Source organism: Homo sapiens, chromosome 1 (assembly GCF_000001405.40).
Source record: "Homo sapiens chromosome 1, GRCh38.p14 Primary Assembly".
NCBI lineage: Eukaryota > Metazoa > Chordata > Mammalia > Primates > Hominidae > Homo > Homo sapiens.
The window spans coordinates 171,951,073-171,976,973 of NC_000001.11; the positions used below are offsets into that span (position 1 = coordinate 171,951,073).

Sequence of the window (25,901 nt, forward strand, 5' to 3'; positions counted from 1 at the left end):
ACTAATTACATACATTTTTTTAAAGGCTAAATTCTCTTTAAGATATTGTAAACTCTATTTGCCTCATATTTGTTCAGTACTTACTTCAAATAATAAAACCTGGTGGTTGCTTTATCAGTTCTAATGATCCTGGTGACTGACATTCCCTCCTGTTCTTTTACCTAAGACATGATGATTACTTTGATAAAACACACACTTTGATCTCAAGGTAGGGAAGATGCAAATCTCATATTCTGAACTCTCCAAATAAATGTAAGACTTGGTGCCTACTTGGTTATCAAGTGACAAAATTATTGAAATAGGAGCCAAACTTTGAAATATTTTACATGCGGTGTTTTGCATTATGAAAGTTTCGTTTGTCATCTACTTGATTTTCTCTTCTTTAACTGTGCTTATGTTTGGCAAAACCATTCTCATTCTCTAAAGTTTAGGGGTTTATCTAATTGTTTTCTCTAGTGGTCAATGAGCATCTTGAGAGTGAAGACCATGCCTTATTTATGTTGTATTCTAAACACCTCCTTATAGCTCCTGGGAAATTTATAGGCATTTATATAAATGCTCCTTGAATGAATGAATGTGTTCCCCCAACATCCTTACTGAATACTGAATTTGGGATCTTGTGAAATCCTACTCAGTTTAAGCTTTAGTGGAGGTGTTGACAAAAAACTAAGCTCTGTAAAACATTTCAAAAGGTTTATTATGAGCCCATATTAATGACTATAGCGCAGGAAACAGCCTCAAGAAGTCCTGAGAAAGTGAGCTTAAGTGGTTACAGATTGGTTTTATACATTTTAGGGAGATACAAATTGTAGGTAAAATCATAAATCAATACATAGCAGGTGTACATTGGTTCAGCCTAAAAAGGAAGAATATCTTGAAGTGAGAGTTGGGGTGTTACAGGTCATAGGTAGATTCAAAGATTTTGTGATTGGCAATCAGTTGAAAGAGTTAAGCTTTGTCTGAAGACCTCAAGTCAGTGGAAAAATATTCTTGAATTAAGATAAGGGAGGTTGTGGAGACCAAGGTTCTTGTTATGTAGATGAAGCCTCCAGGTAACAGCCTTCAGAGAGAAGAGATGGCAGATGTCTTTTTTGGGGACCTTAAAATGTCACACTTTTAGTTAATCCTTTCTTAAACCTGGGAAAAGCCTGGCTGCATTAATGGAGATTATCTGCAAATGCAAACTTCCTCCATAAAAGATGGCTTTGCAGGACCATGTCAAAATATGTCAAAGAAATATACTTGGAGATAAAACATTTTGATTTTCTTTAGGATCTGCTATCTGTCATGTGATGCTACATGAGTCAGGTTGGAATTTGGTATCTTATTGCCACAAAGAGTTTGTTTTTTCGGTCTTAATGATCTCTGTTTTAATGGTAATGCTGGTCAGTCAGTTGTGTCTAAACTCTAAGAGGGAGGGGGTGTAACAAGACATGTCCAACCTCCCTTTCCATCACGGCTGAGAATTCAAATTTTCAGGTTTCTCTGGGGTTCCCTTGGCCCAGAGGGGATCCATTTCAATCGGTTGGGGAGGCTTAGGATTTTATTTTTGATTTACAGGGGCAAATACAGTAGAAGTTTGTATTCCATGAAAATTTAATAACACAAAATTTAGTACATGGAATTTATTATAAATGGAAAGACTAGTACATTTATTGGCTATTTTGAAGAGAGTTATTTTGCAATATGAATCAATGAATAACTTATATCATTGCTTCTTTGCTTCTATAGAAACCAAATAACTTTCTATGACTGGGACAGGTAGTACCTCTATGTTTAAATAACTATTTTCTCTTAGAGTGTTATAATTTGTATTTCTCATCATTAATAGAACCAGTTTTACTGCCAACATGAATAAAACACTCTCCTTTTTACATTATTTTATTCTCTCAATTCAGAGAGTTAGTTATTATGTCATGGCTTTTGGTAAGAAATGAGTGATAATTCTAGGTATTTCCATGATAGTCCTTTGTTGGAAGGAAGGACTTCAAAACTTTAAAATAATCAAATTTCAACTAAATAAAAATTGCCATATAAGAGATGATCTGCTAAGGTATCTAGAGGACTAACATCTATGCCCTCACACTCATATCTAGTTCTTGCAGATTTATTTCTTTCAAACATCATATGCTAGCTGAATGTGATGCTTGCTATCGCCTACTTATCACAAACTTTGCTGCTATTTTTTTCCTTTGTAATTAAATGCCATATGCACACCTTCAATTAAGATAATTACATTTATGATTTTAGTTTAGTCAAGTCATCTGGCACTTTTCATGATATCAGTTATCTGACCTTTAAATAGATGAGAACTTAGGGAAGCATTTAGCATGCCCCATGCGCAATTCTTTTTTTTTTTTTTTTTTTCCTCCCAAGATAGAATCTTGCTCTGTTGCCCAGGCTGGAGTGCAGTGGCGTGATCTCAGCCCAGTGCAACTTCTGCCTCCCGGGTTCAAGCAATTCTCCTGCCTCAGCCTCCCGAGTAGCTGGGATTACAGGCACATGCCATGATGCTTGGCTAATTTTTTGTATTTTTAGTAGAGATGGGGTTTCACCATATTGGCCAGGCTTGTCTCGAACTTCTGACCTCAGGTGATCTACCCGCCTCAGCCTCCCAAAGTGCTGGGATTACAGGCCACCATGCCTGACCCCAATTCTTTATTTTATTTACAATACATCATTTTCTGACCTCATTTAAAAAATTTTAACTGAAGGATTTCTAGTAGACAGGAAAGTTGCCAAGAAGGTTTAGCTTTAAAAGAAATGCCTTTATAATAAATGGCATAGAATTCCCATTATGCTTTTGTTTTAATTTGTTGTAGGAAAGTATGGGATGTGGGATTTAGTTTCCTCACCGTTGTGGTCATTGTCCTTTTTCATATACTCCAGTTTGTCAGTAAAGCTGTTAAAGCATGACATCCAATACTGCATGCAATCCCTGTGGGCTCAACCTAGCACATAACTCAGAGGGACTACTGCCCCTTCTGTTGTGGACATTAACCTGCAATTAACTCAGTCTTAGATCACATTAATTTTGGGGCCAGGACACTTTATTACTGGTTCATAGTGAACTTGCAGCCCATTGTAACTGCCAAATTTTTTTTCTTTTTTGCACTTTGCCTGGATCCTCTATTAGCATTGATTTAAGAACAGTACTTTGCATGTATTATCATAGTAAATCTCTTTTGCTAAATTTGACTGATGATTCCAGCCTGGTGAGATAATTTTGGGTCCTGATTCTCTTTTCCAATTTGGTTGCAGTTTCTCCTTTGTGGTTATAATAAGCTTACTATCTAACCTCGTCCAAATTCCTGGGGGAAATAATGCTTGTTAGAAGTGGGTCAAGGAGTTTCTGGAATAGCATCTTGTTCTTCCTCACACATTCTTACCCTTCTTTAATTTCTGGATGCAAAGTATATTGTTCCTTGTTGACAAAATGGAAAATGAAATCCTCTTAAGATAGTAAAGTGGCTGTCAACTGTAATGCTCTTAAATCACTTTGCTGCTTAGTGCTCTCACAGCTGATACGCAGTTCCCTCTGTGGGCAGCGGCGTTTTACATCAGATCACCTTCCATTTCAATTTAGCATGCCTGCTCACTCCTGCAAGGGGAGGTTTAGTCCTTGGTAACAAGTCTAGAAAATTCTAAATTACACCAAAGGAAAACACCACCAGGAGATGGAGGATTTTTAATGAAAACATATTTTCACAGTGTGGCATTTCAAGTAGAATAACTAGAATTGTGGAAACTGGGGCAACATTGTGTTATGCAATTTTTCCTGAGAAAGCTAAAAATATGTTTTCAGCAGAGAATTAATGAATTGTAGTGATTTGATGCTAAGCAGTTCTGTTTTAATTAAAATATTTAACTTACTAATAAAATGTCAGCACAATTTGAAGGTAGAGAAGTTCTGTTGGAATTAAATTAATATTCTCCTTTTTAAACACCTGGCTCAGCATGTTAAAATAAAATTTGAAGTACTTCTGTGGGCAGTACTGCTAAGTGATAGCAACCTTCTACCTTGTAGTTCTAGCTAGGTGGGCTCTTGGCTCTTACTCTCTTATGAGTAAGTGAGTTGCTGGATAAGTGTTATCCCTTAGCCATAGAATAGTTGCCATAAGTTTACTGCTTGCATGGCTGCATTGGCTAAATGAACTGCTTAATGGTAGGAAAGCTATGCACCACTGTACTTTAGAAAATTTGATAAATGTGCACTTATAAAAGATAATACATTTCATCATTTCAAAGAGAATATGATTCCCTAAAATATAGTTATTTTAACTTTTATGGTTACACAAAACAATGATAAATCAACTCACTTTTTTCCAATATATTAAGTGCACTGTGTGTTTCCAGCTGTGTGGCAGATATAAGGGCATCAGAGAGGAATATGAGATAGTTTTGGCCCATAGACCAGAAGGGGAGTCAAAGACTTAAATGGTACAATGTGGTCAATAAAATGATAAAGCTATTATCTATATCTTTATACATATCCACACACATGACCATACATATTTCCATTCCCATAACTATAACCATGTCTATTGTGGGAATATGGAGGAGAGATACCTGCCCTAATAGGTGAGAGGCATAGGTAGCATTAAAGGAAAATTTTCTGTTGAAGAGATGCCTAAGTTGAATCTTAATTAGTAGAAGCTAACTGGGCTGTATTAGTCTGTTTTCATGCTGCTGATAAAGACATACCTGAGACTGGGCAATTGACAAAAGATAGAGGTTTAATGGACTCATAGTTCCACATGGCTGGGGAGGCCTGACAATCATGGCAGAAGGTGAAAGTCATGTCTTACGTGGCAGCAGACAAGAGGAGAGAGGTTGTGCAGGGAAACTCCCCTTTATAAAATGATCAATCTCATGAGGCTTCTTCACTATCACGAGAACAGCATGAGAAAGATCCGCCCCCATAATTCAATTATCTCCCACCAGGTCCCTCCCATGACATGTGGGAGTTGTGGGAGCTACAATTCAAGATGAGATTTGGGTGGGGACATAGCCAAACATATCATTCTGCTCCTGGCCCCTCCCAAATCCCATGTCCTCACATTTCAAAACCAATCATGCCTTCCCAACAGTCCCCTAAAGTCTTAACTCATGTCAGCATTAACTCAAAAGTCCACAGTCGAAAGTCTCATCTGAGACAAGGCGAGTCCCTTCTGCCTATGAGCCTGTAAAATCAAAAGTAAGTTAGTTACTTCCTAGATACAATGGGGGTACCCACTGGATAAATACACCCATTCCAAATGGGAGAAATTGACCAAAACAAGGGGATAAAGGCCCCATGCAAGTCTGAAATCCAGTGGGGCAGTCAAATCTTAAAGCTCCAAAATGATCTCCTTTGACTCCATGTCTCACATCCAGGTCACACTGATACAAGTGGGCTCCCATGGCCTTGGGTAGCTCTGCCCCTGTGGCTTTGTAGGGTATAGCCCCCCTCCTGGCTGCTTTCATGGGCTGGCATTGGGTGTCTGTGGCTTTTCCAGGTGCATAGTGCAGGCTGTCGGTGGATCTACCATTCTGGGGTCTGGTGGATGGTGACCCTCTTCTCACAGCTTCACTAGGCAGTGCCCCAGTAAGGGACTCTGTGTGAGGGCTCTGACTCCACATTTCCCTTCCACACTGCCCCAGCAGAGGTTCTCCATGAGGGCCCTGCCCCTGCAGCAAACTTCTGCCTGGGCATCCAGGCATTTCCATACATCCTCTGAAATCTAGACAGAGGTTCCCAAACCTCAATTCTTGACTTCTGTGCCCCCGCAGACTCAATACCACATGGAAGCTACCAGGGCTTGGGACTTGCACCCTCAGAAGCAACAGCCCAAGCCATACCTTGCCCCCTTTTAACCATGACTGGAGTGGCTGGGATATAGGGCACCAAGTCCCTAGGCTGCACAGAGCAGGGGGATCCTGGGCCCACAAAAGCATTTTTTCCTCTTCAGCCTTCACAACTGTGATGGGGGTTGGGGGGCTGCTGTGAAGACCTCTGAAATGCCCTGTAGGCATTTCCCCCACTGGCTTGGCAATTAACATTAGGCTCCTTGTTATTTATGTAAATCTCTACAGCCTGCTTGAATTTCTTCTCAGAAAACGTGTTTTTCTTTTCTTTCTTTCTTTCTTTTTTTTTTTTTTTTGAGACGGAGTCTCGCACTGTCACCCAGGCTGGAGTGCAGTGGTGTGATCTCTGCTCACTGCAAGCTCCACCTCCCAGGTTCACACCATTCTCCTGCTTCAGCCTCCTGAGTAGCTGGGACTACAGGTGCCCGCCACCACACTCGGCTAATTTTTTGTATTTTTCAGTAGAGACGGAGTTTCACCATGTTAGCTAGGATGGACTCGATCTCCTGACCTTGTGATCTGCCTGCCTCAGCCTCCCAAAGTGCTGGGATTACAGGCGTGAGCCACTATGCCCGGCCCAGTGTTTTTCTTTTCTATTGCATCATCAGGCTGCAAATTTTCCAAACTTTTATGCTCTGTTTCCCTTTTAAAACTGAATGCTTTTAATAGCACCCAAGTCATCTCTTGAATGCTTTACTGCTTAGAAATTTCTCCCGCCAGGTACCCTAAATCATCTCTCTCAAGTTCAAAGTTCCACAGATCTGTAGGACAGGGACAAAATGCTGCCAGTCTCTGCTAAAACATAGCAAGAGTCACCTTTACTCCAGTTCCCAACAAGTTCCTCACCTCCATCTGAGACCACCTCAGCCTGGATTTCATTGTCTGCATTTTGGTCAAAGCCATTCAACAAGTCGCTAGGAAGTTCCAAACTTTCCCACATTTTCCTGTCTTCTGAGCCCTCCAAACTGTTCTAACCTCTGCCTGTTACCCAGTTCCAAAGTTGCTCCCACATCTTCAGGTATCTTTATAGCAGTGCCGCAGTCCACCGGTACCAATTTACTGTATTAGTCTGTCTTCATTTTGCTGATAAAGACATACCCAAGGCTGGGTAATTGACAAAAGAAAGAGGTTTAATGGACTCATAGTTCCACGTGGCTGGGGAGGCCTGACAACTGTGGCAGAAGGTGAAAGGCACGTCTCACATGGCAGCAAACAAGAGAAGACAGCATGTTCAGGGAAACTCCCCTTTATAAAACCATCAGATCTCATGAGACTTATTCACTATCACAAGAACAGCATGGGAAAGACCTGTCCTCATGATTCAATGATCTCCCACTGGGTCCCTGCCATGACATGTGGCAATTGTGGGAGTTACAATTCAAGATGAGATTTGGGTGGGGATGCAGCCAAACCATATCACAGGTTATGATGTGTGTGTATGTGTTTGTACTTGTATTTTTATGTGTATGTGTATGTATGTGGAGGCATCTGTGTGTTTGGGAGAACAAGGAAAAGGGCTGTGATGTTCCTGAAAGTGAGTTGGAACAGAAGCTTGGAAGTGAGAAACACTGTGAGGTTGCTGGAGTATATAGTGTGTCTGTGTGAGTTTAGGTTGGAGTGGGATACACAAGGAGCTCGTGGACAAAGGGAATCCATCAAAGGTGTTGGAGCAAGGGGATGGTATAGTCAGCTTTACATGCTGAGTGGATTGCTGTGATTACAATGGGCAGGATAGATGGAACATGGCAAGATTTGGGGTGTGACTGTGGAGTAAGCTGTCCAGATGAGAGGTGATAGAACTACCCTCACTTGGCCTTGGTGATAGTGATTTGGGGAGGGGGAGATCAATAAATTTTTAGAAAGTAATGTCAGATAGATATACCTATCTTATATATCTTTTGTTACATTCGTTTCTAAGTACCACATAGTTTCTGCTAATGTTGCAAATCATATTTCTAAAAAATTATGGTTTTGAATTAATTCTCATGGTTGAATATTATGTAGCAGTAAAACTATTGAACTGCAGCCATGTGCATCAACAGTAATAAGTCTAGGAGCATAATCTTGAGTGAATAAAGCAAGTCCCAAATGAATGACTTCATTTGTATAAAGCTTAAAAACAAAACTGAAAAATGTGTTGGTTAGAGATGCACAGGTATGTAATAAACCAATATGGAAAAGGAGATAATAAAATAAAATTAAAAATCATGGTTAATTCTCATGGAGGAGAAGGTGAGAGAATGAATACAGAAGGGGGAAGTATATGGGTGAATGGAATGGTATTGGACAGTTTTGATTCTTATATTAGTGGTGGGTTCATGGGTGCTGGTTTTATTATTATTTTTCATTATATATATATGTCAAATGTAGTATTTTGTATTATTTGATATATTAAAAAGATAATAAGGGAAAAACAGATACATAAGTAGAAATAAGGGCAAGATATCCTCAGGTTTCTAGCTTGGGTTACGGGATCAGTGATGATATCAAATAAATAGAGACAACTAGAGGTTTATTCAGGAACAATGATGAGCTAAGGTTCTTGAAGCACATCTAAACAGATGGATATGCAAGCCTGCAGCTTGTGGGGGAAAATCTAGGCTACATATGCAGATTTGTAAGTCATAAATATACAGTTGTCTTTCAAACCAAAAAATGGATAAAATTGCCCCGGAAGAATTAAAAACAACAACAACAAAAGTGAAAAGAAAGTAATCCTGGGAAGCACCAGCATTGAAGTGTCAGGAGACAGAGAAGTCCATAAAGAGAAGGAAGGGGTCAAAAGATAGGAGGAAAAGTGAGTGGCATCAGGGAGGAAGCCAAGGAGGTAAAGTGTTATGAAGGGAGGGGTGATTATCAGTGTTAGATACACCAGGCCATTTACTACGGTGAGGTCTGGAGTTAGGAGGTTTGTGCTGACCTTAGCGAACTCTGTTTCAGAGCTGTGGGGACAGAAGCCAACTGAAGTGGGGAGAGGGGTCTGGGGAGCCAGACAGCGGGTACTGTGGAGGGGGTAGAGGAATCTTTGTAGAAATATGAGTGTTCTGGGGTGAATAGTGCCCTCCCAAAATTCAAGTTCTTTCTCCTGGAACCTCAGTATAGGACTCTATTCAAAAATAGGATCTTTGCAAATGTAATTGGGTTAAAATCAGGAATGAAGACTGGATTAGGATGGGTTCAAATCCAATGACTGCTGAACTTATAAAATGAGAAAAATTTGGACACAGACACACTGAGAGAACACAATGTGATAAGAGGCAGAGACTGGAGTAGTGCATCCATAAGCCAAGCCATTGCTGACAACCACCTGAGGCTAAGAATGACATGGAACAGATGCTTCCCTAGAGCCTTTAGATGGCCCTGCCAACACTTCAACTTAGGCTTCTAGGCTATAGGACTGTGAAATAATAAAATTTATGTTGTTTAAAGTTACCCCATTTGGCATACTTTGTTATAGCAGCCCCAGGAAACAAATATAATGAATGATAACTAGTGTGTGATTAGGTAAAGAGAGGGCTCCACTTTTTATAGGATGGATGAGACTTAGTACATTTGCAGAACAAGAGAAAGTGGCAGTGTTGAAAGGTGCGGACTTTAAGAGGTGATTGGATCTTGAAGGCTCTGCCATCATGAATGGATTAATACCTTCGTGGGTTAGTGGATTAATGGGTTAATTAATGGGTTATTATGAGGGTGGAACTGATGATTTCATAAGAAGAGGAAGAGAAACCTGAGCAGATACATTAGGAGAGCAGTAAAGGATAAAGATAAGGGAGAAATAGGGAATGCTTGGTGGAGCACAATCCTGGCAGTCCCAAGAGCCATGAGCTCAGGGGCCCAGGCAGAGTTCATCGGTTTTAAAATGAAAACAGTGTACTCTGTGACTGGAAGAAAAAAAGCAGGATGGGGTGAGGTGGTAGTTAGATTGTAGGTAAGAGAGCAGGAAGTAAGGAAGTGCATCCTTGATGACTTCATTTTTCTTAGAGATAAGTTCTTCTGCTGAGGATGAGGGTAAGGGAGGCAGTTGAGTTGGAAGTAGTAGTGGAAGTTTGGAATAGTTGTTCAAGACCAGAAGGCTGACCAGAGACTACCTATAATTGACAGTTGGCATCCAGGTCTCAGCTGAGTTTGGAAACCATTGATTTGTATTAAAGATGCACTACACTGTTCTGAGATGTTTCCAGACAGCGCTCAGATTCCTGAGGTTTACAGCAGGAAAAGTGGCTCCTAGAGTTGGGATTTTATAAGATGGATGCGATGGAGGGATGTTGGTACAAGGAAGAAGAGAAGAGGATGTTGGTGAGACAATGAGCTCATGACCAGCAGTGCACTCCAGCCTGGGTAGAAAGGAAGAGGTAGAGGGCGGAAGGACATGAAAGACTTTATGGTGACAGTGACAAGAGCAGCCATGAGGTCAGCTAGAAACATACTTTTAATCCATGTGTTTTTGACAAGGTATGGCCATTGTCATCTGTGAACATTTAATATCCCATACTGTACTCAGAACTAAAGTACAATAGAAAATAATAAGTGCTGATGAGGATGTGGAGAAATTGGAACTCTTATGCATTATTGGTAGGAATGGAAATTGGTACAGCCATTGCATGAAACAGTTTGGTGGTATCTCAAAAAGTTAAACATACAATTAACTATAATATAATACAGCAATTCTACTTCTGTGTATATACTCAAAAGATTGGAAAGCGGGGGCCCAAACAGATATGTGCCCACCAATGTTCACAGCAGCATTTTTTACAATAGCTAAACAATTGAAACAAACTGTGTCCATCCACAGATGAATGGATAAACAAGGTATGATACATACATACAATGGAATATTACTCAGCCATAAAAAGGAATGGAATTCTGACATTTGCTGCAACAGGATGAACTTGAAAACATTATGCTAAGTAAAATAAGCCAGCCACAAAAGGACAGTACCTTGGTTCATTATCTGCTGCCTATAATAGAATACCCAAAAATGGATAATTTATAAAGAAAAGGAATTTATTTTTCACAGTTATGGAGGCTGAGAAGTGTAAGATCAAGGGATTGCATCTGGTGAGGACCTTCTTACTGGTGGGGGCTCTCTGCAGAGTCCTGAGGTGGCAGAGGGTATCACATGGTTAGGGGGAAGAGTTTGCTAATGTATTTGCTCAGGTTTCACTTTCTCTTCTTATGAAACCATTAGTTTCATCCTCATGGTAACCCATTAGTTAACCCATGAATCCATTAATCCAAGAATGTAATCATCAATTTATGAAGACAGAGCTTTCAAGATCCAATCAACTCTTAGAGGCTCCTTTCACTGCTACCGCAGTAGGGATTAAGTGTCTAACACATTCAGTTTATAGACACATTCAAACCATATAGACAGATACTATATGATTCCACCTATATGAAATACTGAGAATAGGTAGGTAAATTCCTAGAGACAGAAAATAGAATAGAGGTTACCAGGGGTTGGAGGAAAGGCAGAAGAGAGAATTATTGTTTAGGAGAACAGAGTTTCTGTAAGCAGTGGTAATGGTCACTATCTTAGTCAATTTGGGCTGCTATAACAAAATATCACAGACTGGGTAGCTTAAACAACAGACATTTATTTCTCACGGTTCTGGAGATTAAGATGCTAGCTGATTCGGTTCCTGGTGAGGCCCCTCTTTCTGGCATACAGATAGCCATCTTCATTCCATGACCTCATGTGGTAGAGAGAAAGCAAGAGCTATAAGAAGAGACCACTATAAGAAGATTCATGAGTACTCCCCTCTCCTGATTTCTTCTAAACCTAATTACCTCCCCAAGTCCCCTCCTCCCAATATGATTACATTAAAGGTTAGGGCTTCAACACATGAATTTTGGGGAGACACAAACATTCAGTCTACAACAGTTACATAAAACTGTGAATGTACTTAATGTCACTGATTGAACACCTATCAGAATGGTGAAAACCTAAAAACTAACAGTACTAAATGCTAGCAAGGATGTGGAGCAGCAGGAATTCTCATTTGTTGCTGGTGGGAATGCAAAAACAGTACAGCCACTTTGGAAGACAGTTCAGCGGTTTCTTAGGAAACTAAACATATCCTTAACATATTATCCAGCATCCTTACCTTGCCATTTACTCAAGTGCGATGAAAATTTGTGTCCCTACAGAAACTGGCACATAAAGGTTTATCACAGCTGTATTCATAATTGCCCAAACTTGGAAGCAACCAAGATGTCCTTCAGTATTTACTTTATAGTAAATAAACTATGGTATACCCGGACAATGGAATATTGTTGAGTGCTAAAAAGAAATGAGCCTTGAAGAGACATGGAGAAAACTTAATGCATATTACTAGTGAAAGGTATCAATCTGAAAAAGCTACATATTGTATGATTCCAACTATGTGACATTCCTGAAAAGACAAAACTGGAGAAAGTAAAAAGATCAGTGGTTGCCTGGGGTTAGGGGAGAGGGAGAGATGAATAGGTGGATCTCAGAGGATTTTTAGGGCAATGAAAATACTCTGTATGATACTATATGGTGGATACAACATTTGTCAAAACCCATAGAATATACAACACCAAGAGGGACCCCTACTGTAAACTATGGACTTTGGGTGATAATGATGTATCAATATAAGTTCATCTATTGTAACAAATGTCCCACTCTGGTGATGCATGTTGATATTGGGGTAATGCATATGCAGGGGCAGGAGGTGGGATATATGGGAACTCTGTACTTTCTGGTCAATTTCTCTGTGAACCTAAAGCTGCTCTAAAAATGGTCTTTTTTTTAAAAAGTGGTGAAAATAATTATATTATCTCTATATAGATATTATATATATTATCTCTATATAGATAACGTATATATATATATAAAATCACAGCCAAAAAAAAATCCTAAGAGATTGTTTTCAAAGCTGTTTACCATGTAAACCAAAAATAAAATTCCAAGCCCCCCATCCACCTGAATGGATGACTCTCTTGTCAAAGGCATTCAAAAAACCTGAAATACTAGTTCAGGCCATGATAGGAATGGGTGGTCAGAGGTGTCTCATTATATATTCCTCCCCTTGAAACTCAGGCACAGCTGACCAGCATTAACATTAGAACAGAACCCTTAGGCTGACAAAACAGACCATTTTTGCAATAAGATACCAACATGACAGTTAGCAGGCCCTAAAATAAATCAAAGTATTTTACCCCAAAATATATTTCTTTGACATATTTTGAAATGGCCCTGCAAAGCTGTCTCCTGTGGGGAAAATCTACATTCTGTAAAGAATGCTGTTCCCTTTCCAGGTCTTTTTCCTGATCCAGGAGAGAATTAAGAGTCTGGCACCTTTTTAAGTCTGATAAGAAACATTTACAGTCTATTCTCTCTGAAGCCTGCTACTGGAGGCTTCACCTACATAATAAGAACCTCGGCCTCTACAACCTCTTATCATAACCCAGAAACTCCCTTCTGTTGATTCCTGTGTTTAGATAAACTTTCAACCAATTGCCAGTCAGGAAATCTTTGAATCCACCATATGAGCTGGAAGCCACCCCCTCCACCCCTGCCTTTCCAGACCAAACCAATGTACATCTTACATGTACCGATGGATGTCTTATGACTCCCTAAAATGCATAAAACCAAGCTGCAGCCCAACCACCTTGGGCACATGTTCTCAGGATCTCCTGGGGCTGTGTCATGGGCAATGGTCACCCATATTTGGCTCAGAATAAATCTCTTAAAATATTTTACAGAGTTTGACTCTTTTCACTGGCAACTTTAGTGAGAATACCTTGATTCATGGTATTCTACCAAATAATTAAAAACTATACTTTGTATTTTTGATAGTATTTTAGTTTAAGTATAACCAGAAAGTCGAATAAACAGGACACAAGAGGGGCGAAAAGGCTTTGTCTAGCTTGGTCCCCTCAGTGATTTCTCTTCCCTGGGAACCTCCGTTGTGGCACCTTTTTTTTTTTCTCCCAACTGATGGAAAACTGTGTCTCTGCTTATGACACTTCTAACACTGAATGTGTGGATTTTCTAACCAAGCAGTTTTCTCAATTCTCTGTGGACACCAGCTGGGTGTCCTACAATTTAATTCAATTCTGACACTAACTATTCAGTTAACACAGACTCCACAGGTTGATGTCTCAGTCCCACAAGACTGTCCCGAGTTCAAATGCCAATCTCAAGTAGTGAGTCCCCAGGTAATCCACACTTCTGTGCAATTTGACTAGGGGTTCACATGCAAATTAAGGGTTCACATGACCCCTTCCTCAGATTCAATAATTTGCTATAACAGCTCATGTATTTCAGGGAAACACTTTTGTTTACTGGTTTATTAAAAAGGATATTGTAGGCTGGGCATGGTAGCTCATGTCTGTAATTCCAGCACTTTGGGAGTCTGAGGTGGGTGGATTGCTTGAGGCCAAGAGTTTGAGACCAGCCCATGCAACATGGCAAGACCCTGTGTCTACAAAAAAAAAAAAAATACACAAAAATTAGCTGGGCATGGTGACATGTGTCTGTAGTCCCAGCTACTTGAAAGGCTGAGGTAGGAGGATTACCTGAGCCTGAAGAGGTTGAGGCTATAGTGAGCCATGATTGTTCCACTGTAAAGCCTGGACAACAGAGCTAGACCCTGTCTCAAAAAAAAAAAAAAGGGTTGTTGCGGGGGATGGATATTATAAAGGATACAGATGAATAGCCAGAAGAAGTACATGGGGCGAGGTCCAGAAGGGTCTGAAGCATGAGCGCTTCTGTCCCCATGTAGTTGAGGCGTGTCCCCCTCCCAGCAAGTGGATGCATTTAACAATCTTGAAGCTGTCTGAACCCCTTCAGTGAGAGTTTTTATGGAGGTTCATTATATAGATGTGATTGATTAAATCATTGGCCATTGGTGATCTATATTCAGCTCCTCTCCCCTCCCTGGAGATTAGGGGGTAGGAGTGAGAATTCCAACTTTCTAGTCATGTAGTTGGATTCTCTGGCAACAGGGGTCAATGAAGAATCCCCCCATTAGCGTAAACTTAGGTATGGTTGAAAGGGATTTGTTATGAATAACAAACGATACTTCTGTCATCCCCATGACTCAGGAAATTCCAAGAGCTTTAGAAGCTCTGTGTCAGGAACCATGGGCAGATACCAAATATATATTTCTTCTTATGTTGCATTCACCACTTGGTCCATAGAGATACTCCCTGTTGAAGTCCCCTTGCCCTCCCAGGTGGCCCTCCCAAACAACACTTAAATGTCTTTTGGGCAGCTTCTTTTCCCACGTGGCCCACATCTGTTCTATGGGAATTTTTCACATATTCTATCCTTTGCCCTGATGGTGCCCAGTCTACTCCCACAGGCTTGAGCTTTCTCTGGCCTAAGCCAGGCACAGAAGCTTCCCTCTCCCTCAGCTGCAGGATCTCAAGCTCTCTGAAAGGTCTCTCACTAAGCATGAGGGCAGAAGAAGGCATCTTCCTCACTTGCCCTTCATGGGCAGAGGGTGGGGTTCACAGATCTCCACTTCTCCTGATCCTTGTATTATTATATTCTCAGAAGTGTTAAGGGGGCTTGTCATCCAAAAGACCACCAGGATGGCTAAATAGTAGAAAGAAGAGCTTTATTAGCAATAGCAGTTTGCAAATCAGGAAGAGAGTCTCTGGCATCGACCCAGGGTATTCTCCCTTTGAAGTGGGAAGGTGCAGGTTGGATTTTATGCTCCACAGAGTTGTATTACACAATAGAGTCATACACATTCAGAAGTTTGAGAGAAAAGCTATCCATATTTACAAGAGGAGCCAAGTGCATATGCAGTGGGTACCATGTGTAACATACACACTATGTTCACTTTGGGGTGGAGTTTCAGCATTAAAATGAGGTGGAATTTGGCTCTTTAAATCAAAGGGCAAACTATAGGACACAAAGACAGTTTGTGTGTAACCTCTATAACCTGGCTGAAATTGGCTTAAGGTTTGTAGTTGCTTATCAGAGAAAAATGTTTATAAAGCCAGCCTTCTGTTCAGTCATTGAGTCGTAGTTTTCTGGGTTGTAAATCAGAGTTAAGAGTGGTCGAATAGCTCCTATTGTTATGGAGTGTAGCAAGGGTGTGGTTTTTCTTGTAGCCTTAGGAATTTAGGAAGTTGTCATGCCAGCTGAGCCCTGAACCCTAGACCTGTAGGTAACTTTTGTTTCCTTAACCTTAGGGTTTGTCTTAGTTGACAAAAGGGAATCTATTTTGGTCTCTCAGATCACAGGCCTAAGAGGTAAAAAATCAGTTCTGAGTCATTTTTTATGTCAATTCTACATATGGTGGCAGTCTCATACTTACAGATTTCCACTGGAACTAAAACACTTTTCATGAAGATGTGACTTGGTATGGTGAAGTGAGCTCTGGACCAGTGGTGAAATGACCTGACTTCTTGTATTTCTACCATTTTTTAGTTTGTGACTTTATAAAGAAATTACTTTGTTGGGGTGTAGAAAACAATTCCCCAAAATCTAGCTTGTTGACATGCTGAGTGCTTTGAAAATGAAAAGGCCTTAGAAATAGGCCTCAGAACCAAGGTTCTGACTTTCCTCTGTCTCTCTCATCCTCCTTATTTTCCCAAGAAGAAGAGGGGGAGAGATTCTGTCTGGAATTTCCTTATCTAAGAAAGTGTATTTCACAAAGAAGTGCAGTTGTTTTAAGAGCACGCTCCCTAGAAATCTCATCAAATATCCAGGAAAAATCAACCTTCAGAGAAACAGAAGGGATTGGGAATCGTCACCAAGTCACTATGCCCAGACAGACTTTTCATCTGTTCTTCTGAGTGCAATTCCAAGAAATTAACTGGGGAAATTTATTTGCATAATAAGACAACCTTTGTTCTGTGCAGTTCTGTCCACCCCTTACCTTCCCATAACTTGTTCCATCCAGCTTTCAAAGACAATCATTTACAAAATAATATATACCTTACAGGTCCTTATGTCTCTCCTCTGTGAAGAGAGATTTGAAGCCTCAATCATCTGGACCCTCTTTGAGTCTCATACTTTGTATATTGCTTCTGTGTTTATGCAAATTAAATTTTGTATGCCTTTTTCTCCTACTAAACTGCCTTTTGTCAGCTTATTTTTAGCAAACCTTCAGTGGGCACAGAGGAAGCCTTCCCTCTGCCACTACAACTTAATCTCTTTGATGATCACTTTCCATAAAATGGTTTTGAAGATTGAATGAGATAGAGCAAATGAAGATGCTTTGAATGTATACATGTGCTAAACACACGGAAAATGCTCTGTTGTGAGTTCAAAGTACTTTCTCTGCTATTGAGGCTTCTAATCAGTATGATTCTGTGATGACAGAAACTCAAAAGCTTACCTTTTTTTTTCTTCTGATACTGAAAACTTCCATCTTGTCAAAAGACAAAATTACAACAAATTTAGCTTAAAGATCTTAACTGGCTTTTATTTGTGATTCTAGAATCAGGCAACTCCTCATTTTACAAAATAGAATGAGTGTTCCCAATGAATTGAGCAGAGGTTGGTTTAATAGACAGAAATGGACCAAGAAGGCAGAAACGGAAAACCAAAAAAGGCTGGGTTGTTTCAAGGTTACTTTTCTTGCAAAGGTTAAAGCAGAGGGGACTTCATTATCATGCCAGCTAGCACTGGCTTGTTTGGAAATTTGGCTATTATCTCTCTCCTGATATCATGGAAGGTTAGAGAAATAACTTAGTGTTGGCTTGGTGGTGTGGAACTTCAGCTTGAGTGACCCCATTTTGGCTTGGTATGTGTTGGGCTTAGTGCAGGAGCTCAGTCCAAACCGATGGCCTCCTATAACGGTCTTAAGGAATTATTATAGTTGGAGCGAAAGTCCAGTCTTCTGTCCCATTTGCTTACTAAGCTATACTAAGGGAAAAAAAATGGGACTAAATTTAAATATTGTTTTTAATTTTCTGTTGGAACAAATGAGTGATTGCTATATAAAGGTGCATTTCAAGTACCAAATGCAAAATTATGCTATTGTTGTGTTCTTCAAGTGTGAACTTTAGTGGTTACAGCTGAAACTCGTAGAGATGTCTCAGATTCTGCCTTCAATTGGCTTATTTAGCTTTGATGGAAAAACACTTTATTTCTTAGAAAAGCTATAATAACTGTTATCATTATTTTAATAATGACATTTACACGAGCTTTAGCATGTACATGCTTTCTGGGCACTTGTCTAAGTGTTTTCCAAATGTGGGGAGAGAAAGGAGGTGATCCCTTTGCTCCTCATCATAAAGGTCATGGCTGACACTCCTATAAAAAAATGACAGGTTAACAAGAGAAAAGCATAATGATTTATTAATGTGTATAAGCATGGGAACCATAAAAAATAGGAAAACTCAAAGAAGGGCCACATGGTTGATGCTAAAGTACCCTCTTCACTGGGTTAAGAGAAGTAGAGGTGTAGGAGTAATTGGTTTTTAGGGGGAATGAATGAGCACAAAGAACAATGATAAATCATAGTCAGGATGAAGTTCCTGTGAGCTCTGAGGGAGGCAGTGGGAACACGAGGGGCTGAACTTCACTGTGAACAAAAGTTGTCTTATTATGCAGATAGCATCTCCCAGGTAATCTCTGGAGCTGCCCTAACAATAGATGAGAAGTCTGTCTGGACATGGTGATGACTCCTAGTCTCTTCATTGGGATTCCTAGAAACGGGGGGTCTTAAAATAATTGCATTTCTTTGATAAAGAAGCTTTCTTGGTCATATAAAGGAAATTCTAGAAAGGGTCTCTCCCAATGTGCTTCAGCAAAAAAAGATTAAAGAAACAGATAGGCAAGTGAAGGCCAGAGAGAGACCTTGGGGCTGCTTCTTTAGTTCAGCATGTCAAAACACCGTATTTTGAGGTATTGCTCTCTGGGCCCTAATAAATATATGGTCTTATCTAATCCTCACAACAATCCTAGGAGGTAGGTGACACTATCCCCATTTTACATAGAGGAAACTGAGGCACAGAGAAGTTACAGTTTACCCAGAACAGTCAGGGTTGTTTGGAGTATTAACATGAAATAATGTGTGTGACTAAAAGCTTGGTGTGTAGTACAGCAGATTCTCAGTCATTTTTAATTTACTCTAAGGGTCAAGAGTTAGTAAATATAGAAGTCCATGTGACTTTGGGGCTTTCATTGGGCAAAACCACAAGTTTTGGCGGAAACAGATAAAGATAAGCACTTATTCTTATTTGGCATAGATAGTTCCTTCCTTCTGCATCCTACTGCTATTTTCATTTTATCGATGGAATACTTTGAAGCACGAAAAATCATTATATCTTGAAATAATTTTTAAAATAATCCAATAACAAACTCAGAACTACTGAAGAATAATAAAGGTAAGACAATACATATTAAACATTTTAAGGGTAACATTTTTGGGAAATTGACTTTTTTTAGCTTTATGGAATATTATTATCATTATTATCATGATCATTATTATTTCCATTCTACATAGGAAGAAATTGAAGCACAGAGAAGTTACAGGTTAGCCAGGAGAATACCTATTTTCCAGAACTTTTGTGGGGTATTAACAGTACTTAATATGTGTTAATTTACATACTAACTTAGGTAACAAGCGTGTGTTAAGAATAAGTATATAAAATGTGTTTTTGGATTCAAATTTTATTTTAAATGTGATAGATAGAAATATTTTTGCTAAGATATATAATTATCCTCCAAATTATTTTTAGGATGAGTATGAATTTTCATATGCAATGCAGTTCCATCTTATGTAAGCGCTGTATTCTAAAATTAGCTTTTAAATCAAATATAGGGTATAGTAAGAATCATCATTAGGACCACTGAGCTCAATATTGTATATATGATGTTGTGTATACAACTAACATTCCTTCTAACTTTTTACTGGTCACTGTTTTTCAATGGGTCTCAATTGGATTTTTTTAAAATTTCTTCTTTCAGGATGTTAACAAAGAAGAATCAAGTAGCTATTATCAGAATTCAGTTTTGTTTTCTGTGGAAATCTCTTTCCCTAACAGGTTATAACAATCCAGTGGTGTGCTTGTCAAATTTCAGCATTACCTTTATGTTGAACATTTAAAAAAATAATAACAGTAGCCTACATTTTAAATATACTTAGTATGAAATGGGCATTGTATTAAATTCTTTCTGTGCATTATCTTATTTAACATTTAACCACAAAGAGGAATGCATTCTATCTCTTACACTTCTTCATAAATGCTTTATGCTTTCACTTGTTAATTTCACACATTTTTATTTTTAAAAATTTGGTATGTGTTCTTATTTGCCCAGCCGTATATCTCCTATTTCCTTTTGTTTTTTCTCTTTGGTGCTTTTGTTAATCACTTGTTTATAGTTTTAAATATTCTCTTTTCTCCTCTTGGTTTTTTCCCAATTATATGAAGTCTCCTAAGTCTAATTCAGATTCTACCCTTTCTATAAATCCTTTACAGATCACTCTACCCTAAAAAGACCTCTCCCTTTGTGAAATCTACATAGCATTCATTTGACAATTATTCATTAAGCTGCTTATCTTGAAATTTTATTTAAATCTTTTGCTTAATTTTCACAAGTTTGTCTTCTTTTCCAACTTTGGTAAGTTCTTCAATTATGAAATATAGCTTAACACTTTGTTTCCCTATAGTAGTAGTTCTTTAATTCTTTAATGAGTAGCAGATTTTCATATGGCCAGAAAACGCCACTCCCAATTGAAAGGATATATTACAGAATGGAAAATAATCTGAACTTTGTAACCTAAGAAGCAAAATAGTCTGAATTCTGCAACCTAAGAAGCACAATGTGTAATTGAAGGCTTGCTAAAAAAACAAAAACAAAAACAAAAAACCCAGAAAACCTTATCACAAAAGCCAACACAGGTTTTGGGAAATTGAAAATATAATATTTTCATGGTATTAAGCTTCATACGAAAATGAAGTCCAGACAGCAACAACATACTCTTGAGAGTCTTATCCTGAGTTAGTCTCTATAACTGATTAGACCAGAAGGGGAGGAGATGGCTCATAAAAAGATCTGCTTCTAAAAGGAAAGTCTGAGAGATTTTGCTCTAGAGTGTTGGTTCATACTGAACGAGGAAAAGAACACTGGAAGTTCTAAAATGCTGAAAGAGGTATTCAAGACCTCATAGTCTTTGAAAAACAGCAAATAGTAGTTCAGTTTTGACTTGGAATCATTCATTCATTTATTCTTGTAATCATTTCTGTATCCTTAAGGAATGTTAAATCAAAGATGTAGAAGACATAGTCCTACTCTCTAAGCACTTTCTTTGTAGCACTGGAGATAAAACACAAACAACTAGTTACTACGCTGTGGAAGGCGTAATACATGTTATATGAATATTCTTGAACGTGTTACTTAGCCTTCTGGGATTTAGTTTCTTTATCTGTAAAGAGCAAGCACTGGCTTTGGTAGAAAATCTTTAAGGCTGTTTCTACATGCAAAATCACGTAAGTAGTACATTCACAAGATCTTGAAAAGCTTTAGAGGAGAAACACATTCCTTATAGTGGAGAGATCAAGGGAAGTTTCTTAGTGGAAATGATATTTGAAGAGGGCCTTGTTAGGTTGTTTTGATAGGCATATACTATAATAGTGATAAAACCAGTTATTGAGTGTTTGCTGTGCAGAAGGCAGTATGCGAGGCACTTTAAATACAGATTCCTAGGCTTGGCGCAGTGGCTTATGCCTGTAATCCCAGCACTTTGAGAGGCCGAGGTGGGCGGATCACCTGAGATCGGGAGGTTGAGTCCAGCCTGACCAACATGGAGAAACCCTGTCTCTACTGAAAATACAAAATCAGCCGGGCGTGGTGGCGCATGCCTCTAATTCCAGCTACTTGGGAGGATGAGGCAGGAGAATCGCTTGAACTCGGGAGGTGGAAGTTGCAGTGGGCTGAGATCGCACCATTGCACTCCAGCCTGGGCAACAAGAGCAAAACTCCATCTCAAAAACAAACAAAAAACAAAAACAACAACAACAACAACAACAAAAACCCCAGATTCCTGTGGGGAAGAGGGTGGAGCAGAGTTCTCTCTCAATACCCTGAAGTTATTTGCACAATTCTGTGTATATGTAAGTTAGTACATTTTTATGGGGAAAGTTTCCGTGGCTTTTCTCAGATGCTTAAAGTAGTCATAACCCCAGAAACAAGAACCGCAGTATAAAGAGTAGGAGATATGATTCCTATATTTTGGGAAATGCCCATATGTAGGGGGCGGGGGAGGAGGGATAGTGGTGCTGGTGGAAAGAATGAACAGTTGATAACAAAGAAGATGTTAAAAGCTAAGAATTGGAATCAAAGCCTCTTGGAGGGGAGAGCTTGAAGTAGTGACACACAGTTAATGTGGGGTGGCTAACAGATTGTAACTGGGAGTCAGAATGTCTGGATTTAAATCTTTGACTGGCATCTCCTACCTGTGTAACCTCAGGCAATTTGTTTAACCTCTTTGAGGCTAAGGCTTTTGCTATTTAGATTAATTGTTACATATTTACTCAATTCTTTTTTTTTAATTAAGGGTTTACTATGTGTTAAATGCCTTCATTCATATATTCTTTGATACAGTATGAATTTGTTGAGACCCTATACCTAGTTACTGGGAGAATTTTGGTGAATGAAGCAGAAGAATTCATTCTCTTGCCCTCACTGAAACCTATGAAAGAGACACTATTTTGCAGTGGAGGGAACTGAGGCTTGGGGAAGTTAAGTAATTTCTCAGTCTTGTGATAAAGAAATTGCAGACCCTTCAAACATGGGTCTGACTCCAAAATCTTTTTTTTTTTTTTTTTGATACAAGATCTCCCTCTGTCACCCAGGCTGGGGCATAATCTTGGCTTACTGCAGCCTCAACCTCCAGGGCTCAAGTGATGCTCCCACCTCAGCCTTCCAAATAGTTGGGTCTACAGGCATGTGCCATTATGCCTGGCTAATTTTTTGGATTTTTGGTAGAGACGGGATTTCACCATGTTGCCCAGGCTAGTCTTGAACTCCTGAGCTCACGTGATCCTCCCGCCTTGGCCTCCTAACGTGCTAAGATTATAGGCATGAGCCACCACTCGTCGCCCAAAGTCTTAATCACTAGTGTTTTTGTTTTTTTTTTAATCACTAGTGTTTTTTACTTCAGAATACTGTAGGCATGGCTGACTCTTGTGAGGTTAACAAGAAGAAACTTACTTTATTTCAGGAGTAATTTACATATAAACTCAAAGGTTGAGAGAGGGATGCTGCAGATATTTTGGATAGACTTCTAAATTTATGAAACTACTAAGTATTATTAAATAATGCAGTATTTCAAATCAGTTTTTCATATGATGACACAATCAGATCACTGAGTAGTCACTACACTGTTATTGAAATTGCAGTTTTCATTGTGATCTATATTATTCATATTAAGGACCCTCTAAAATGAGTGCACTTGCTTTTCAAGTAAGATAGTTTTTTTCTCATATATTTTTCATGACTGTCTATTTTTCCACTCCCATAATTTTATCTATTTTGCAAAAGAAATTGATTACTTTTCATATTTAAGTCCCTTTTGAGGGGCTCTCTCTTTTGAGGGTGGTTGTCCTTGTGAGAGAGTTTTCCATTAAGTTCCCATTGAGAAAATTAGTGACTATCATAGCTAAGTATTAATTTACATACAAATTGAGTTAAAGAAAACCATAATACAAAGTTTTGGATCCGAACTTTAGTTTGTTTTCTTTATAGGTGCATTTCTGTTAGCATCATTTAAACTGACTGCATAATGCATTAGGTTTTACTGAGTGCTGGCTATTCTTGTAAGAATCCTCTGGGATTAAAAACAAAAATTATCTAAGGGAAACTTCTAAATATTTTAAGTTTATCCCAATTTAGATAATTTATACACTAGTTGACCTGTTCCATTAATTGAGTTTTCTTCATACTAAGGACAACCTTTGGTTCTTCTTTTTTCTCCTCCTCCTTCTCCCCCTCTTCTTCTTCTACTGTTTTTTTTTTTGAGTTGGGGTCTTGGTCTGTCACCCAGGCTGGAGTTAAAGGCTCACTGCACCCTTGAACTCCTGGACTCAAGCAATCCTCCTGTCTCAGTTTACCGAATAGCTAAAGACTGCACGTGCATGCCACCATGCCTAGCTAATGAAAAAAAGATTTTTTTTTTTTAAGAGGGAGTCTTGCTATATTGCCCATGCTGGTCTTGACCTCCTGGCCTCAAGTGATCCTCATGTCTTGGCCTCCCAAAGCAGTAGGATTATAGGCATGAGCTACTGCACCTGGCCATTGTTTTGCTTTTTAAAAAACTTTCAAGAAATGATTGGGTTGACTCTATTGCCTGAGTCATAGAATTATTTCTACCATTTCTAAGCAAAAGCGTCTTATCAGATGAATTGGCTCGGCATTTTAGTTTTATATAACCAATTGTCATATGTCCAAGAATTTCCATGATATTTACAAGACAAAATCTTTATTTTTATTTGTTTAGACCTTTTAATGTAAGAATATGTACTCTTATTACCAAGTTATACTGTACTGACTAGGTCGATGTTGCTTGGGACATCATTGATAATAAATATTTTTGTAGGACCCCAAACAATACTTAAGTGACTTCTCTATTAGTAAAGCGTTTAGAATAGATATCACTCCAAGTTATAAGAATCTGTGATTTTGTTAAAGTTTAATACGTTTATCAGAGCAAGCATCATGGGAACATACTTGTGCTTTTAGCAAAACATGTTGTGGTTATATATGTGCAAGCTTGAGCCAGAAGAGGAAAATTTTTCTGAATGATGTTACAATGTTGCAGATAAAGATTCAAAAGATAGATTGTTTTGTAGAAACTGACAAGCTGATTCTAAAATTTATATGAAAATAAAAGAACCCAGAATAGCCAAAACAACTTTGAAAAATAACATTGAGGTTGGAGAATTAACATTATCTGATCTCGAGACTTATTATACAGGTTCCACGGTTTGTGCCTGTAATCCTAGCCAGCAGAGAGACTGCTTGAGCCCAGGAGTTCAGGCTGTACAGTGCTATAATTGTGCCTGTGAATAACCATTGCACTTCAGCCTGGGCAACTTAGCAAGACCCTATCTCTTAAAATGAGGGCTTATAAAGTTACAATAATCAATAATATGGCATTGGCATAAAGAGACAAATAGATCAATGGAACAGGATGGATTCAAAAAATGGATCTACACATATGTAGACAATGGATTTTAGACAAAGGTACAAAGGCAATTCAGTGGAGAAATGGTAGTCTTTCCAACAAAGGTTACTGGAAAAAAATAGATATTTACATGCAAAAAATAAACTTTGATTAATACCTTCCACCATACACAAAAATTAAGTTGGCTGTTTCCAGCTGCTAACAACTTTCAGGAATTTGTCATGATGACTGTTCTCATACTGCTAGTAAAGACATACTGGAGATTGGGTAATTTATAAAAGAAAGAGGCTTAACTGACTTACAGTTCCACATGGCTGAAGAGGCCTCACACTCATGGTGGAAGGTGAATGAGGAGAAAAGTCACATCTTATATGGCGGCAGGCAAGAGAACATGTGCAGGGGAACTCCCTTTTATAAAACCATCAGCTCTTGTGAGACTTATTCACTATCATGAGAACAGAATAGGAAAGACCCACCTCCATGATTCAATTACCTCCCACTGGGTCCCTCCCATGACATGTGGGAATTATGGGAGCTACAATTCAAGATGAGATTTGGGTGGGGACACAGCCAAACCATATCATTGACATTTAAGGAGCTTACCAAAAACACACTAAAGATCTCCTTCAAATATTTAGATGAAATAATGTTGGCGGCAACTTGTGTATAAAATTACATACTCATAGAAAAAGTTTTTTGTGGTTTTTTGAGATATTATAATGTATCCAGCAATGCATATTGTAGCTCTGATATTTTCTTTAAAAATTTTTTAGTTACGTATTTATATACTTAGAGTTCTGATACAACTACTACTTAAATCTCATTTATAAATTTTGTTCCTTGTGGCCAAGATTCTGTGGGGAAACAGTATTTTCATTTTGTAAATCTTAGACTTTCTATTGTATTTTTTTGTATTGAAATCTGATT

General features: G+C 38.8%; 1 protein-coding gene across 26 annotated transcripts in view, besides 2 other annotated features; it reads left to right on the forward strand.

The window, feature by feature from the left end:
• The window catches only part of DNM3 (dynamin 3), a 576,969-nt gene that overhangs the window by 109,575 nt on the left and 441,493 nt on the right, over positions 1–25,901 (forward strand). The gene's annotated exons all lie outside the window — the stretch shown is intronic.
• Positions 14,796–15,472: an enhancer, noted in NCBI's record as "H3K27ac hESC enhancer chr1:171935008-171935684 (GRCh37/hg19 assembly coordinates)". NCBI's record gives its function as "activates a minimal SCP1, AML or CMV promoter by ChIP-STARR-seq in naive H9 embryonic stem cells {active_cell/tissue: H9 hESC(naive)}" and the evidence as "EXISTENCE:reporter gene assay evidence [ECO:0000049][PMID:30033119]".
• Positions 15,473–16,149: an enhancer, noted in NCBI's record as "NANOG-H3K27ac hESC enhancer chr1:171935685-171936361 (GRCh37/hg19 assembly coordinates)". NCBI's record gives its function as "activates a minimal SCP1, AML or CMV promoter by ChIP-STARR-seq in primed H9 embryonic stem cells {active_cell/tissue: H9 hESC(primed)}" and the evidence as "EXISTENCE:reporter gene assay evidence [ECO:0000049][PMID:30033119]".